This window comes from Homo sapiens, chromosome 18, assembly GCF_000001405.40.
Source record: "Homo sapiens chromosome 18, GRCh38.p14 Primary Assembly".
Classification (NCBI taxonomy): Eukaryota; Metazoa; Chordata; class Mammalia; order Primates; family Hominidae; genus Homo; species Homo sapiens.
Genome location: NC_000018.10, coordinates 36091149 through 36106547, shown reverse-complemented (window position 1 = coordinate 36106547; position 15399 = coordinate 36091149). Strand labels below are relative to the sequence as shown.

The 15399-nt window shown below is 40.5% G+C and overlaps 1 annotated feature.

Annotated features, from left to right (window-relative positions):
- Window positions 7571-7731: a silencer, noted in NCBI's record as "fragment chr18:33678780-33678940 (GRCh37/hg19 assembly coordinates)". NCBI's record gives its function as "represses an EF-1alpha promoter that drives an FKBP-Casp9 reporter gene in an ReSE screen in K562 erythroleukemia cells {active_cell/tissue: K562}" and the evidence as "EXISTENCE:reporter gene assay evidence [ECO:0000049][PMID:32094911]".

Genomic DNA, 15399 nt, shown 5'->3' with positions numbered 1-15399 from the left:
GGTGGCTCACGCCTGTAATCCCAGCACTTTGGGAGGCCGAGGCGGATGGATCATGATGTCAGGAGATCGATACCATCCTGACCAACATGGTGAAATCCCGTCTCTACTAAAAATACAAAAATGAGCTAGGCATGATGGTGCGTGCCTGTAATCCCAGCTACTTCGGAGGCTGAGGCAGGAAAATCGCTCGAACCGGGGAGTTGGAAGTTGCAGTGAGCCGAGATGGCGCCATTGCACTCCAGCCTGGTGACAGAGCAAGACTACGTCTCAAAAAAAAAAAAAAAAAGATTCTGAGGCAAAGGGCAGGTGTTGTATAATATAAAGGAGGTAGATTCCCCAAGCCCAGTGTCCTTCAACTGCTATATGCCACCTAAACTCACTACATGTGCAGCCCCTGTCTGGAACGTTTCACTTTGCTCTTGTGGGATTCAGGGGTCAAGGGGAACTGATGTAAACTTCTTTATTGCTGTGAGCCGTAAGTTCTTTCTCGGTGACCCAGGAGTGTCACATCTTCCAGCATCCATGAAACAGTAACAGGCTAACTTGTAGTTGTAAGGTGGGCAAAATTTCAGAGCTGGACAAAACCTCATAGGAAAAGCAGAAATTAATATAGATAAAAGAATCCTAGATAAAATAGCAAATCAAGCTCAACAGTATATAATATGATTAGGTAAGGTGATCCCAAGGAATGCAAGGAATGGCTCAACATCAGAAAACCCATTATCATCATACACCATGCTAACAGATTAAAGAGAAAAATCACAAATTTAATAAAATATTCAGGATTAAAGAAAAACATTTCAGCATACACAAATAGAAAAAAATGTTTACGATTCAGAAAGTCTATTAAAAACTTGCCTTTTTCCTGAATACTCCCAGCCTGTGAAGTCAAGGGTTTAAGAATGAGCAGCAGAGGGGAGGGAAATGTGCAGAGAGGGAGGAACTACTGGTAGACCAGAAAGATAAACTATAATACAACTCATGGATGGAGCTTGACTTTCTCAGCTTGTCTGCTTACCTATAAAATACTATGAAAATTAAGGAGGTAGCAAATTGCTGCAGTTCCATAGCTATCATCATAAGCACTGAGTCACTGATGACTACAATTTTTTTTTCCTTTTTTAAAAATTGCAGTGAAATGCACATAACATAAAATTTACCATTTTAGCAATTTTTAGGTGTACAGGTCAGTGACATTAAGTACATTCATGTTGTTGTAAAATCATTACCATCCATCTCCAGAACTTTTTCATCATCCCAAATTGAAACTCTGTACCCATTAAATAATAATTCCGCATTCCTCCCTGACAGAAAGCAAGACAGTGGTCCCAACCCCTAGTAACCACTGTCTTACTTTCTTCTCCTCTATATACTGGAGCATTCCAGATAGGTCAAGTAAGTAGGGTCATGCCATATTTCTCCTTTTTTGCCTGCCTTATTTCTCTGTGCATAATGTCTTAAAGGTCTATCCATGTTATGGCATGTGTCAGAATTTTATTTCCTTTTAAGGCTGAAAAGGAATGTGTATTAGAGTTCTCCAGAGACACAGAACCAATAAGAGATAGAAAGATAGGTAGATAGATAGATAGATAGATAGATAGATAGATAGATAGATAGACAGATAAGAGAGGATTATGGGATTATTAGGGAAATTGGCTCATACAGTATGGAGGCTGAGAAGTCCCACAACAGGCCGTCTGCAAGCTGGAGACCCTGGAATGCCAGGAGCATGGTTCAGTCCATGTCTGAAGGCTTCAGACCCAGGGATGCCGAGAGTGTAACTCTCAGACCAAGACCAAAGACCTGAGAACCCAGAAAGCCACTAGTGTAAGTCCTGAAGCCCAAAGGCCAGGAAGCCTGGAGTTGTTGCACAAGGACAGAAGAGAAAGAGTGTACCCCAGATCCCACAGATACACCAACATATTCACCTTGTCTCTGTTTTTGTTCTGTCTGGGCCCCCAGCAGATTGCACGGTGCCCGCCCACATTGAGGGTAGATCTTCCCTACCTAGTCCACTCAGACTCACATGCTGATCTCCTCTGGAAACACCCTCACAGCCACACCCCAAAATAATGGATTACCAGGTTTCTGAGTATTCTTTAATCAAGTTGACACCTAAAATTAACCACCACACATTGTAAGTGTATAACACATGGTGTTTATTCATTCATTGATGGACACTCAGGTTGCTTCCACCTTTGGGCTATTGTGAATAATGCTGCTATAAACATGTGTATACAAATAAGTGTTTGAGTCCCTGCTTTCAATTCCTTTGGGTATATACTCAGAAGAGGAACTGCTGGATCATATAGTAATTCCATGTTTAATTTTTTGAGGTATCATCATACAGTTTTCCACAATAGTTGTACCATTTTACATTCCACTAGCAATGTTTATATTATTTCTGTTTCTTAGGGTTCTTTTTTCTTTTATGATAACCATCCTAATGGATGTGGTGTCTCATTGTGGTTTTGACTTGCATTTCTCTAGTGATGTTGAATATCTTTTCATTTGCTTTTTGGCCATTTACATATCTTTGGAGAAATATCTATTGAAGTCCCACCAGGCCCCTCTTCCAACACTGGGGGTTACAATTTGACATGAGATTTGGGAGGGACACAAATTCAAACCATATCACCACATTTATGTAAGTCTGTTTTTTGTATCAGAGTAATCCTGATCACATGAAATGAGTAGAGAAGTATTTTTTCCTCTTCTATGTTCTGGAAGAGATTTTGTAGAATTCACCATTGAAACAATCTGGGCATGGAGTTTTATTTAAAAGTTTTTATCCATGAATTCAATTTCTTTAATAGATATAGGAACATTCAGGATACATATTTGATCTTGAATGAGTTTTAGTACTTTGTGTCCTTCAAGAAGTTGTTCCATTTTACCTCAGTTGCCAAATTTATAGCCATAGAGTTATTCATAGTCTTTGCCTATTTTCTTACCAGCAGTAGCTTCTGTAGGGATATCATTCATACTATTGCTAATGTGTCTTTTCTCTTTTTTCCCTCGTCATTCTGACTATAGGTTTATCATTCTCAGTGATTTTTTTTCAAATAAGATTTTGGTTTCATTTTCTCATTCATCTGTTTTCAATTGCATTGATTTCTGCAATTATCTTCATTATTTCCTTTCTTCCATTTGTTTTGGTTTTACTTTCGTTTTAATTTCCAATTTATTAAAGTGGAAGCTTAGAATATCGATTTGAAATCTTTTTAATACAAGTATCTAATACTATAAATTTCCCTCTAGACACTGCTTTACCTACAATCCCACAAATTTTGATATATTGCATTTTCATTTTTGTCTGCTTGAAAATAAGTTAAAAGGAGGGGGTCCTAAAAGGAGAGCTACCTGGGAGGCTGAGGTGGGAAAATCTCTTGAGCCCAGGAGTTGAAGACCAAACTGGGCAACTTAATGAGACTTTAAAAAAATAGGATAAGGAATACTGAAAAATTACACTTGCATACATTTGGAAACTTAGATCAAATGGACCAATTCCTCAAAACCCACAAAGTACCAAAACTCACCCAGGACAAATAAGCAACCTAAATAGCACTGTAACTATTAAAGAAGTTGAATTTATACACTTTGGGAGGCCAAGGCAGGTGAATCACTTGAGGCCAGAAGTTCAAGACCAGCCTGGCCAACATGGCAAAACCCCATCTCTACTAAAAATATAAAAATTAGCTAGACATGATGGTGCACACCTGTAGTCCCAGCTACTCAACTTGGGGGGCTGAGGCACGACAATCACTTGAACCTGGGGGGCGGAGGTTGCAGTTAGCTAAGATCATGCCACTGCACTCCAGCCTGAGTGACAGAGCAAGACTGTCGAAAAAAAATAAAAAGTTGAACTTACAGTTAAAACCTTCTGAAGAAGAAATTCCAGGCTGAGATGGTTTCACTGGCGAATTCTACCAAATATGTAAAGAAAAATGATAGCAATAGTACATGACCTCTTTTGGAAAATGGAAGAGAAGGAAACACTTCTTAACCCATTTTATGAGGACATTACCCTGATATCAAAATCAGACAAGTGATAGCAAAAAGGAGACAGACAAATTCCTAGGCAGACAGGGACAGGTCCCTGGTGAAACCCAACCTTCAAGCCAAAGACAGCCTGAAGCCTGAAAACCGAGCTGCCAGCTATGGATAGAGTCCGTGACTGGAGTGAGAACTTTCTTGATACATTTTAGCCGATCAAATGGTGCTTTTTCCAGCCCACCTATGGACCAATCAGCATGTACTCCCCCATTCTGAGCCCATAAAAACCCCACTTAGCCTCACTACCTGCTCTTGGGCCCCCTCTCTGCTGAGAGCTTTCTTTCTCTTGCTCAGTAAAATTCTTCTCTGCCCTACTCACTCTCTGGTATCCGTGTACCTTATTCCTCTTGGTCACGGGACAAGAACCCGGAACTTGCCAAGCTGCGAGCAGCAGGACTGAACAAGCTGTAACAAGACCCCATTCGTCAAGCTGTGGGCAGCAGGAATGAGAGAGAGCTGTAACATTTCTTGGGGGCAGAACTTGGGACTCCCCAGGCAAGAGCTGTAACACCCTTTGGGGCTCTGTGGTTACTGACGTCTCCAAGTTTTCAGGTGCCACCATGTTCCCCTCATCTAGATGCCAGTGCCTAATGTGGAAGCCATTCACAGCATGCCTGGTCCAGCCACAGGTTGAGTGCGGATCCCACAGCCTGTGTGGGATATAGGCCAGGGTGCAAGCCAAGCAGAGCCTGCTGGGTCGAGCCTGTAGAGTGAGCCCAGCAGGCTCAAGTGAGGTCCTGGACAGAGTTCATGGCAGCCAAAGAGATTTCCAGGTGGCAAAGTAGCACCGAAGGAATCCTATAACACTGAAACCCTCCTTCCTGCTCGCTAAGCAATGGGGGAGAAAAAAAACTGCTGGGCACCATTCCCTTCCACCTGCTGAACTACAAAGGCCACAACACAAGGACAGCACAAGAAAACTACAGACCAAGAAAAACCTCATGATTTTATCAATTAGTACAGAAAAAAATGTTTGATAAAAATTAACGGTAGGGAGGGACCAAGATGGCCAGATAGAAGCAGCTCCCATCTGCAGCTCCAAGCTGGACCAACAGAGAAGGTGGGTGATTTCTGCATTTCCAACTGAGGTACCCAGTTCATCTCACTGGGACTGGCTGGGTGGTGGGCGCAACCCATGGAAAGAGAGCAGAAGCAGGGTGGGGTGTCACTTCACCCAGAAAGTGCACAGACCAGGGAAACCTCCCTCCCCCAGCCAAGGGAAGTGGTGAGGGACTGTGCCACCAACCAGGGGTACTATGCTTTTCCCACAATTTTTTCCAATCCATGGATCAGGAGATTCCCTTGTGGCGAGGTTCCAGAGAAATAGGAACGCTTTTACACTGTTGGTGGGAATGTAAATTAGTTCAACCATTGTGGAAGACAGTGTGGTGATTCCTCAAAGATTTAGAACCAGAAATACCATTTGATCCAGCAATTCCATTACTGGGTATATACCCAGAGGAATGGAAATCATTCTATTTTAAAGGTACATGCACACGTATGTTCATTGAAGCACTACTCACAATAACAAAGACATGGAGTCAACCCAAATGCCCATCAATGATAGGCTGGATAAAGAAAATATGATACATATACACCATAGAATACTATGCAGCCATAAAAAGGAATGAGATCATATCTTTTGCAGGCACGTGGATGAATCTGGAAGCCGTTATCCTCAGCAAACTAATGCAGGAACAGAAAACCAAACATCACATGTTCTCACTTATAAGTGAGAGCTGAAAAATGAAAATACACGGACACAGGGAGGGGAACAACATTTACTGGGGACTTCTTGGGGAGGGCAGGGGTGGGAGATCATTAGAGAAAAGAGCTGATACATACTGGGCTTAATACCTAGGTAATGGGTTGATAGGTGCAGCAAACCACTATGACGCATGTTTACCTATGTAACAAACCTGCACATCCTGCACATGTACCCCGGAACTTAATTTTAAAAAAAGAAAAAAAATTAACCAGTTACAGCCTGAGTGTGGTGGCTCACATCTGCAGTCCCAGCACTTTGGGAGGCCAAAGTGGGAGGATTACTTGAGGCCAGGAGTTCAAGTCAAGCCTGGCCAACATAGTGAGATTCCCTCTCTACAAAGAAATTTAAAAATAAGCCAGACATTGTGGTGTGCACCTGCTACTAGGTAGGCTTTTGTTGGAAGATTGCTTGAGCCCAGAAGTTCAAGGCTGTAGTGAATTATGATCACACCACTGCACTCTAGCCTGGGCAACAGAGCCTGTCTCTTAAAAAAAGAGTTAACCATATATGATTAAGAAAAAACATATAGCTAACATCATACTTATTGGTGAAAAACACATGCTTTTCATCTAAACTCAGATATAAAACAAGGATGTCAGCTGGGCATGGTGGCTCATGCCTGTAATCCCAACTCTTTGGGAGGCCAAGGTAGGAGGATTGCTTCAAGCCAAGAGTTCAAGACCAGCCTGGGCAACATAGTAATACTCTGTCTCTATGCAAAATTTTAAAATGAGCCAGGTATGATGGCATATGCCTGTAGTCCCAGCTATTTGGGAGGCTGAGGTGGGAGGAGCGCTTGGACCCAGGAGTTTGAGGTTGCAGTAAGCCATGATCATACCACTGCACTCCAGCCTAGGCAACAGAACAAGACTCTCTCTAAAAGTAAAAATTAAAGTAAATTTTTAAAAGGACGTTCATTGGTAAAATAAAGTAAGAGAAATGCATATAGGCCCTTCTATAACTGAGTATCTTAGCTATAAAATGCATTTCTGAACTTTTTTGTCTAAACTCAGAATATGGGCTTGAAATGTACTTTGAAACTCTTTGTTTCTCTCCCCTTTCTACCAGACACTCCCTTGCACCATACACACTTATCTAACCATCTCCTTGTTTAAAAGTTCCAGGGACTAATCTTGAAACAAACCAGGCATGGAGGCCTTGGGAAATCCATCTTTTTAGGGGAGTCCATAAACAATTAGTTCACCACCACCAGACTGAAGTCAAGATAACACCAACAAGACCTCTGAATAGATGATTATTCAAGATAGCCATCAGAACAAGGCATGCAGAGCTGCACCCTGCAACACTCCTACATGATTCTCACAGCAAGTTTCTCTTTTGAAACTCCCTCAGTCAGCCCAAAAGTTTGAGATGATCTCTTTGTGACTTGAGCTCAGCTATCTCCCTCACTGATGGCATTTGAAATAAAGGTTACTTTTCTTTTACCATGCATTGCTTCTTGTGTTTTTAGCTTGATAGGTGGTGAGCAGCTGGACCTGAGTTTGGTTACACTTCTAGAACTAATAAGTGAATTGAGCTTTGTACAGGATACAATATCAACACACAAAAGTCAATTTTATTTCTGTTTACTGACAATGAGCAATTGGAAATTAAAATTAAGAAATAAAATTCCATTTAAAATTGCTCCCTCCAAATTGCAACACTTAGGTATGATTCTAACAAAACATGTAAAGGGTGTTTATACTAAAAACTACAAAATGCTGTGTTTAAAAAAAAAAAAAAAGAAGAAGAAGAGGAAGAAGAAGAACAAGCGGCCGGGCGCGGTGGCTCACACCTGTAATCCCAGCACTTTGGGAGGCCGAGGCGGGCAGATCATGAGGTCAGGAGATCGAGACCATCCTGGCTAACACGGTGAAACCCTGTCTCTACTAAAAATACAAAAAATTAGCCAGGCGTGGTGGCAGGCACCTGTGGTCCCAGCTACTTGGGAGGCTGAGGCAGAAGAATGGCATGAACCCGGGAGGTGGAGCTTGCAGTGAGTCGAGATCGCGCCACTGCACTCAAGCCTGGGTGAGAGAATAAGACTCCGTCTCAAGAAAAAAAAAAAAAAAAAACGCTGAATGAGAGATATGCTATGTTCATAGATTGGAAAAAAACATAATAAATGTTTTCATTTCAATCAAAATCATTGCAGGATCTTTTTAAGTATAGACAAGCTGATTCTTGAATTTATATAGAAAGGCAAAGGAATGAGAATAACCAAAACTATTCTGAAGAAGCATAAAGTTGATAGAATCATACTATCTGACTTTCAGACTTACTATAAAACTACCATAATCATGACTTGGTTGTTCTGACCAAGGGAAAAATATACAAATCAATGAAGTAGGATAGAGAGCCTAGAAATAGACTTACACAAATATAATCAACTTATTTTTGACACAGGTGAAAAGACAATTCAATGGTGTAATAGCAGTCTTTTCAAAAAATAGTGTTGAAACAACTGAACATTATGGGCAAAAGAACAAAATGAAAATCCAAACAAAACTTTATCCAAAATGGATCATAGATATGAATATAGAACCATAACACTTTTAGAAGAAAATATAGGAGAAAAATCTTCCTAACCTGGGGTTAGGCAAACTTGAACCAAAAGCACAATCCATAAAAGAATAAGTTGATAATTTGTTTCAGAAAAATTGAAAATGTTTGGGCAGGCGCAGTAGCTCACACCTATAATCCCAGCACTTCGGGAGGCCAAGGTAGGAGGATTGCTTGTGCCCCGGAGTTCAAGACCAGCCTGAGCAATTGAGCAGCATGGTGAGACTCCATCTCTGCCAAAAAATAAAAAAGTAAAAAATTAGCTGAGCATGGTGGCATGTGCCTGTGGGCCCAGCTACTCAGGAGGCTGAGATAGGAGGATCCCTTGAGCCTAGGAGGTCAAGGCTGCAGTGAGCCATGTTGGTGCCACTGTGCTCCAGCTTGGGCAACAGAGTGAGACCCTGTCTCCTCCACCAAAAAAAAAAAAAAATTGAAAATTTTTGTTTTGTCAGAATAGAAAAGAGAAACTATGAACTGGGAGAAAAATATTCGTAAATCACATATCCAACCAAGAACTTGTTTTCAGAATATAAAAACAACTCTCATAACACAATGGTGAGAAAACAAACAACCTAGTTCTTTAAAATGTGGGAAAAACTTGAATAGATATGTAGATATGTCACCAAAGAGAACACATGGCGGCACATGAAAAGAGTTCAATAGCATAAATCACTAAGGAAATGCAAATTAACACCATAATGAGCTGTCAGTATTCACCTCCTAAAATGGCTAAAATTAAAAATTCTGACAATATCAATATCCAGCAAGGATGTGGAGTAACTAAACTTTCATACATTGGTAGTGGGTATGCAAAATGGTACAGCCTCTATGGAAAACAATTTGGTAATTTCTTACAAAGGTAAATATACAACTACATTATGGGTACATTATGACCCAACAATCCCTCTCCTGTGTATTTGCCCTAGACTAATTAAAACTTAACATTTGCACAAAAACTTGTATAGCAGCTTTATTCACAATCACCAGAAACTGGAAACCACCCAAGTGTCTTTCAACAGTTGAATGGATAAATAATGCTGTGGTATATCTGTGTAGTGCAATACTACCCAGTAGTGAGAAGAATAAACTACTGACACAGGCAACAACCTCCATGAATACATGGTGATTTTGCTAAGTGAAAGAAGGCAGACTCAAAAGGTTACATATTACATGTTTCCATTTATATGGTACTCTGGAGAAGATAATATGATAGGAAGAAAAGATCAGTGGTTGCCCAGGGTTCATTTTGGGAAGGCTGTGACTGTAAAATACTAGCATAGGAGTTTGATTTTTGGGGGGCAGGGGTTGAGAGATGGTAATGGAATCATTCTGTATCCTGATTTTGGTGGTGGTTACACAAATCTATATGTAGTGAATCTCACAGAATTCTACTGCATAGGAAAAAAGTAACTTTTCCTAAGTTTTTTTCTAAAAAAGGATGAGGTGGATATTTCTCTTGATTGAACAATACAGTGTAAAATATTGAGTACACACCACACCTGGGTGTGGGTGTACTTACAGAAATTTTGGAAGGATACACAGTACAGTGGAAGACTTTTGTATTCTTTATACATTTCTTTACTTGAATCTTATTTTTTACCATCTTTTTTATTGTGGTAAAATATACAATAACATAAAATTTACCTTGTTAATCATTCTTAAGTGTACAATTTAGTGGCATTAAGTACACTAACATTGTTGTGCAGTCGTCACCACCATCCATATTCAGAATTTTTATGTCTTCTGAAAGTGAAACTGTGGATCCATTAAACAATAACTCCCCATTTCTTCTTTTCCCAGCCAAACACCATTCTACTTTGTCTTTCTGATTTTGACTACACATTTAAGTGGAACATACAATATGTGTCCTTTTGTAACTGGCTTATTTCACTTAATATAATCTTATCAAAGTTTTTTCATTTATGTTGAAGCATGTGTCAGAATATCACTTTTTTAAAGCTAAATACTATTCCATTGAATGCATATAACACATTTAGGATGTTATTTAAACCCATGCAGTAAGCCCAACTTAGTAGAACCAGTCTGCCACCTTGTGGAATTTTAACACAACTTCAAATTTTACAAATTGAGAAGATGACTAATTTAGAAATGATGCTACTAGTGTTCAATTACTAGCTATTTTTTTGGTGTAAATTTAAAGAACTAGTTTTATTTAACATAACTGTGCAAGAAGTATGTGAAGAGAAACTCAAATGCTGCTGATGGGCCAAAATATTTGAGTACATGTAAAGTTATTTCCTATTCTTGGATAGGAGGAATGGACTACAAACATGAATTAAGTGGTCATGGAGAAAGACGCAAATGGCTTTTTATCATATAAAAGCTTACATATTACAGGATTTCAATCTCACTCATACAAGAAAATGCAATTTAAAAATTGTCTACAAAAAATTGTAGACAAAACAAATTTATCTCCAAAAACGTTGTAGACAAAAAATTATCTACAACATGGATGAACCTTGAAAACATATGCTAAGTGGGAAAAGCCAGATACAAAAGAATAGATATCACAGTTGTCCTTTATTTATTTATTTATTTATTTATTTATTTATTTATTTATTTATTTTTGAGACGGAGTTTCGCTGTTTCGCTCTTGTTGCCCAGGCTGGAGCGCAATGGCATGATCTCGGCTCACTGCAACCTCCGCCTCCCGGGTTCAAGTGACTTTCCTGCCTCAGCCTCCTGAGTAGCCGGGATTACAGGCACTCACCACCACGCCCAGCTAATTTTTACTCCCACTTCATCTTAGCCGAAAACATTTGGCAAATGGGAAGAGATTATGAAGTAAGAAAAAATAGCATTTACTAAGGTCTACTATAGTCCTCTACATAATTCTACCCAATCCTCATAACAGCCTTACTATATAGGCCTTATTAGTTTCATATTGCAGATGACTAAAACGAAGTTTGGAGAGGTTAATTGGTTTGGTTAAAGTCCTAGAGCTAGTTGATGCCACAGAAGAAACTTAAACTCCTGTCTACGGTCTCCAAAGTTGAAAATTTGGGAGTTCAAGTTTGGCATCTTTACTTTTCCTTTTTTTTAAACAAGGTCTCACTCTGTTGTCCAGGCTAGCGTGCAGGTGGCACAATCATAGCTCACTACAACCTCAAACTCCTAGACTCAATTAATCCTCCCACATCAGCCTTCTGAGTAGCTGGGACTACAGGTGCACGCCACCATGCCGGTTTTATTTATTTATGTATATATTAGTAGAGATGAGACCTTGCTATGTTGCCCAAGCTGGGCCTTCCTGCCTTCCTTCCTTCTTTCCTTCCTTCCTTTCTTTGTTCTTTTATTGGGGACATCCTTTCTTAAAAGAGATTTTGCAGTCGGATGTCTGATGTCCTTTTTCTCCATTTCCTATGAGATGTGTGATTCCACTGTTAGAGATACAGCACATATCCTGAGCTACGAGGGGTTGGCTGACTGTAGATTTTCTTCTTCGCAGGAAAAGTACAAGGTTCTGGATAGGGAGGCATGAAGTGGCTGATATGCCTGCCAAACAGGCTAGGCTTGCTGGGCTGCACCATAAAATGCCAGGGTTTGAACAAAGGAGAAACATCCTACTATTCCAGAATTTGGCTGGAACATCCCCTGATCATTTTAGAGAAACACTGCCAAAGGAGCATGCTCATGGATGTGAGACAAAAGTCACAATGGATCCAAAAACTATTCATTCAACAAGTACTTATTGAGCCCCTACTATAACCAGACACTGTTCTGTGCAGTGTTTGTTAATTAGAAAAATAGACCCAAATCCTTGCTCTCATTGAACGTTTATTCTAGTAAGAATAGGCAGAGAGGCTGGGGTCAGTAGCTCACTCCTGTAATCCCAGCACTTTGGGGAGGCAGAGGTAGGAGGATTGCTTGAGGCCAGGAGTTCAAGACCAGCCTGGTCAACATAGCGAGACCCTGTCTTTACAAAAAAAATAAAAAAAAGAATAGGCGGACAAGAAGTAAGTTAAATAGATAAACAATGTAGTGTGCTAGAAAGATATTTTACAAAAAAAAAAAAATGTTGGGCCGGGCACAGTGGCTCACGCCTGTAATCCCGGCACTTTAGGAGGCTGAGGTGGGAGGATCGCTTGAGGTCAGGAGTTTGAAACCAGCCTGGCCAATGTGACAAAATCCTGTCTCTACTAAAAATACAAAAATTAGGTGGACATAGTGGCATGTGTTTGTAATCCCAGCTACTGAGGAGGCTGAGGCATGAGAGTCACTCGAACCCGGGAGGCGGAGGCTGCAGTGAGCCAAGATCATGCCACTGTGCTCCAGCCTAGGTGACAGAGCAAGACTCTGTCAAAAAAAAAAAAAAAAAAAAACAGAAAGAAAGAAAAGGAAAAAAAGAAAGAAAGAAGAAGAAACCACGTGATTTTTCTGTTCAACGCTTTGCAACAACTTCCCATCTCACTTATGCAAAGTAAAAGCCAAAATCCTGGCAGTGGTTTATAAGACCCTATTTGATCATTGTTCTCTCCTCACGCCCCATCTTACTGTCTCCTACTCCTCTCCTCTTTGATCACCCACTCCAGCCACAGGAGTTCTCCGTGCTGCTCCTGAGCCACCCCAGGCACCTTCCTGTCCTAGGGCCTTTGTATTGGCCATTCGCTCTTTGAACACCCCGAAATAGCTGCACGGGTCACATGTCCCCTCCCTCAGATCTCAGAGTGGCACCTTAGTAAGCCTGTTCCTAGTGAACCAAAATCCCAACAGCCATATTCCTTCCTCGACATTACTTTTCCACATGGCACATAGCACAACTAACACACCATATTATGCTTTCACCTGGTTCACTCTTCACTTCCACAGAAGCTCTGACGGAGACACAGATTTTTGTTTGTTTTATTCATTGCCCTATCCCTAGTGCCTGGCTTATATTAGGTGTTCAGTATGTCAATGCCTTCCAGCCAAAGACCACCAGGAACATACCTGTAATTGAACAAGTTGAGTTTTTGGCTTGTTGTCATGAAAGAGAATGTACAAGAGGGGGAACCATGGAATGGCTTGGTATGTTAGCAAGGAGGATTTGGGCTTAAGTTAGGTGATTTGGCAGAGGTTTCAAGGAAGTGAGGTTTTGCTCTGAATTGAATGATGCCAGGAAGCAGGAATAATTATCTGATTGGGTATTTTAATAAATTTTTTTTTAGAAGGGGGAAGAAGAGAGCAAGGCTAAGGATATAATTGGTAAAGAAGCAGCAGTTATATTAGCAGGAAGAGGAGGCTATTTTTGTGGTTTACACAGTGACTTTATTTTTTCCTGTTCTTGGATAAAATTTATGAAGTGGTCTTGTTTTTGTTTGGTTTGGTTTTTGTCTCACTTTACCGAGGTCATAGAGTGCCCTTGTCTGATGTAGGTGCTCTGTGAGATTGTTTATGTTCATCAGAAGAATACCATGACCTGTCTGTGATGCCAGATGAGCTCCTAACACCACAGAGGGCCAGGTGATAGAGCCAGGCCAACTGCACATGTCAGTGGTTGCTTTTCTCCTTTTCAAGTATGTATTTGTTAAATGATTGAGTGAATGATTATAATGGTAGTCTTCATAAACCTAAAAGGCTATCATGTGGAAGTAAAGTTAGGCTAATTTTATAAGAATTCAGAGAATAGAATTGGAACAATGGGTCCAGGCATGGGTGGCTCATGCCTGTAATCCCAGCACTTTAGGAGACCAAAGCAGGTGGATCACTTGAAGCCAAGAGTTTTAGACCAGCCTGGCCAACATGGTGAAACCCCATCTCTACTAAAAATACAACAATTAGCCGGGTGTGGTGGCACATGCCTGTAATTCCAGCTACTCAGAAGGCTGAGGCACGAAAATCACTTGAACCCAGGAGGCAAAGGTTGCGGTGAGTCAAGATCGTGCCACGGCACTCCAGCCTGGGTGACAGAGCAAGAATGTCTCAAAAAAAAAAAAAAAAAAAAAAGGATTGAGACACTGGGTAAAGTCAGACAGTCAGCAAGCTTCAGCTTACCATAAAAACTTTTTAAAAATGAGCCCCCCACCCCTGCAGGGAGATAAGTGTCAATTGCTTGAATTCTTTACAGAATCTGGAGGGGACATTGTAGAAGTGATTAAGGCACCACACGGAGTGCTAGAGCTAGATGTGATGGCCTCAGATTTCCTGAAGTTCTAGGAAGATCTGCCAATGCTTCCTTGGCCTTTCAGGGTGCTTCCTATGAAGATCTGAGCAAGAATCAGTCACTGGCTATCCTAAGATAAGGAAGAAGTTGTCCAGGCCTTTAGGATTTCGCAGAAGAGAAGTGAAGACAGATGTAGAAGCAAATATCTGCAGTGCAGTTCTTCAGGGCAGTTTTGAAGAAGTAGTTGCCACTGGGGCCAATTTTGCCCATATAAGACATTTGGTGATGTGTGGAGACATTTTTTATTGTCACAAGGAGTGAGGAGTTTGCTACTTACAAATAGTTAACAGAGGCCAGGTTGCTGCGAAGCATCCTCTAATGCACAGGACCACTTCCCACATCAAAGAATGATCTCTGGCAAAATCAGTCCAGGTTAAGCATTCCTAATCCAAAAATCCAAAATCTAAAATGCTCCAAAATTGGAAACATTTTTGCTGACATGATGCCACAAGTGGACAATCCATACCTGACTTTATATGATGATTTGCAGACAAAATGCAGGTGCACAACACACAGTTTATTTAACATCCCCAAGGGAAAAAAAGATTTTCCCAGGCCCCTTCAGTTTTGATACATCTTTTCCACACATGCCAGATGTGTATGTCATGTTTTACTATTAAGCACTTACATGTGAATAAGTGTAAGAAAATGATGGCTTATTGGTAGCGTATAAATTCAGAGCCAGGAATGATGGTAATGACAAGCAATCACAAATTGTCCACTTGGGTGACTAAAATAATGACACCTTTGCTTTCTGAGGGTTCAACTTGGTTTTATGCACAAAATCATTTAAAATATTGTATAAAATTACAGTACCTTCAGCATATATATAAAACATAAGTGAATTTTG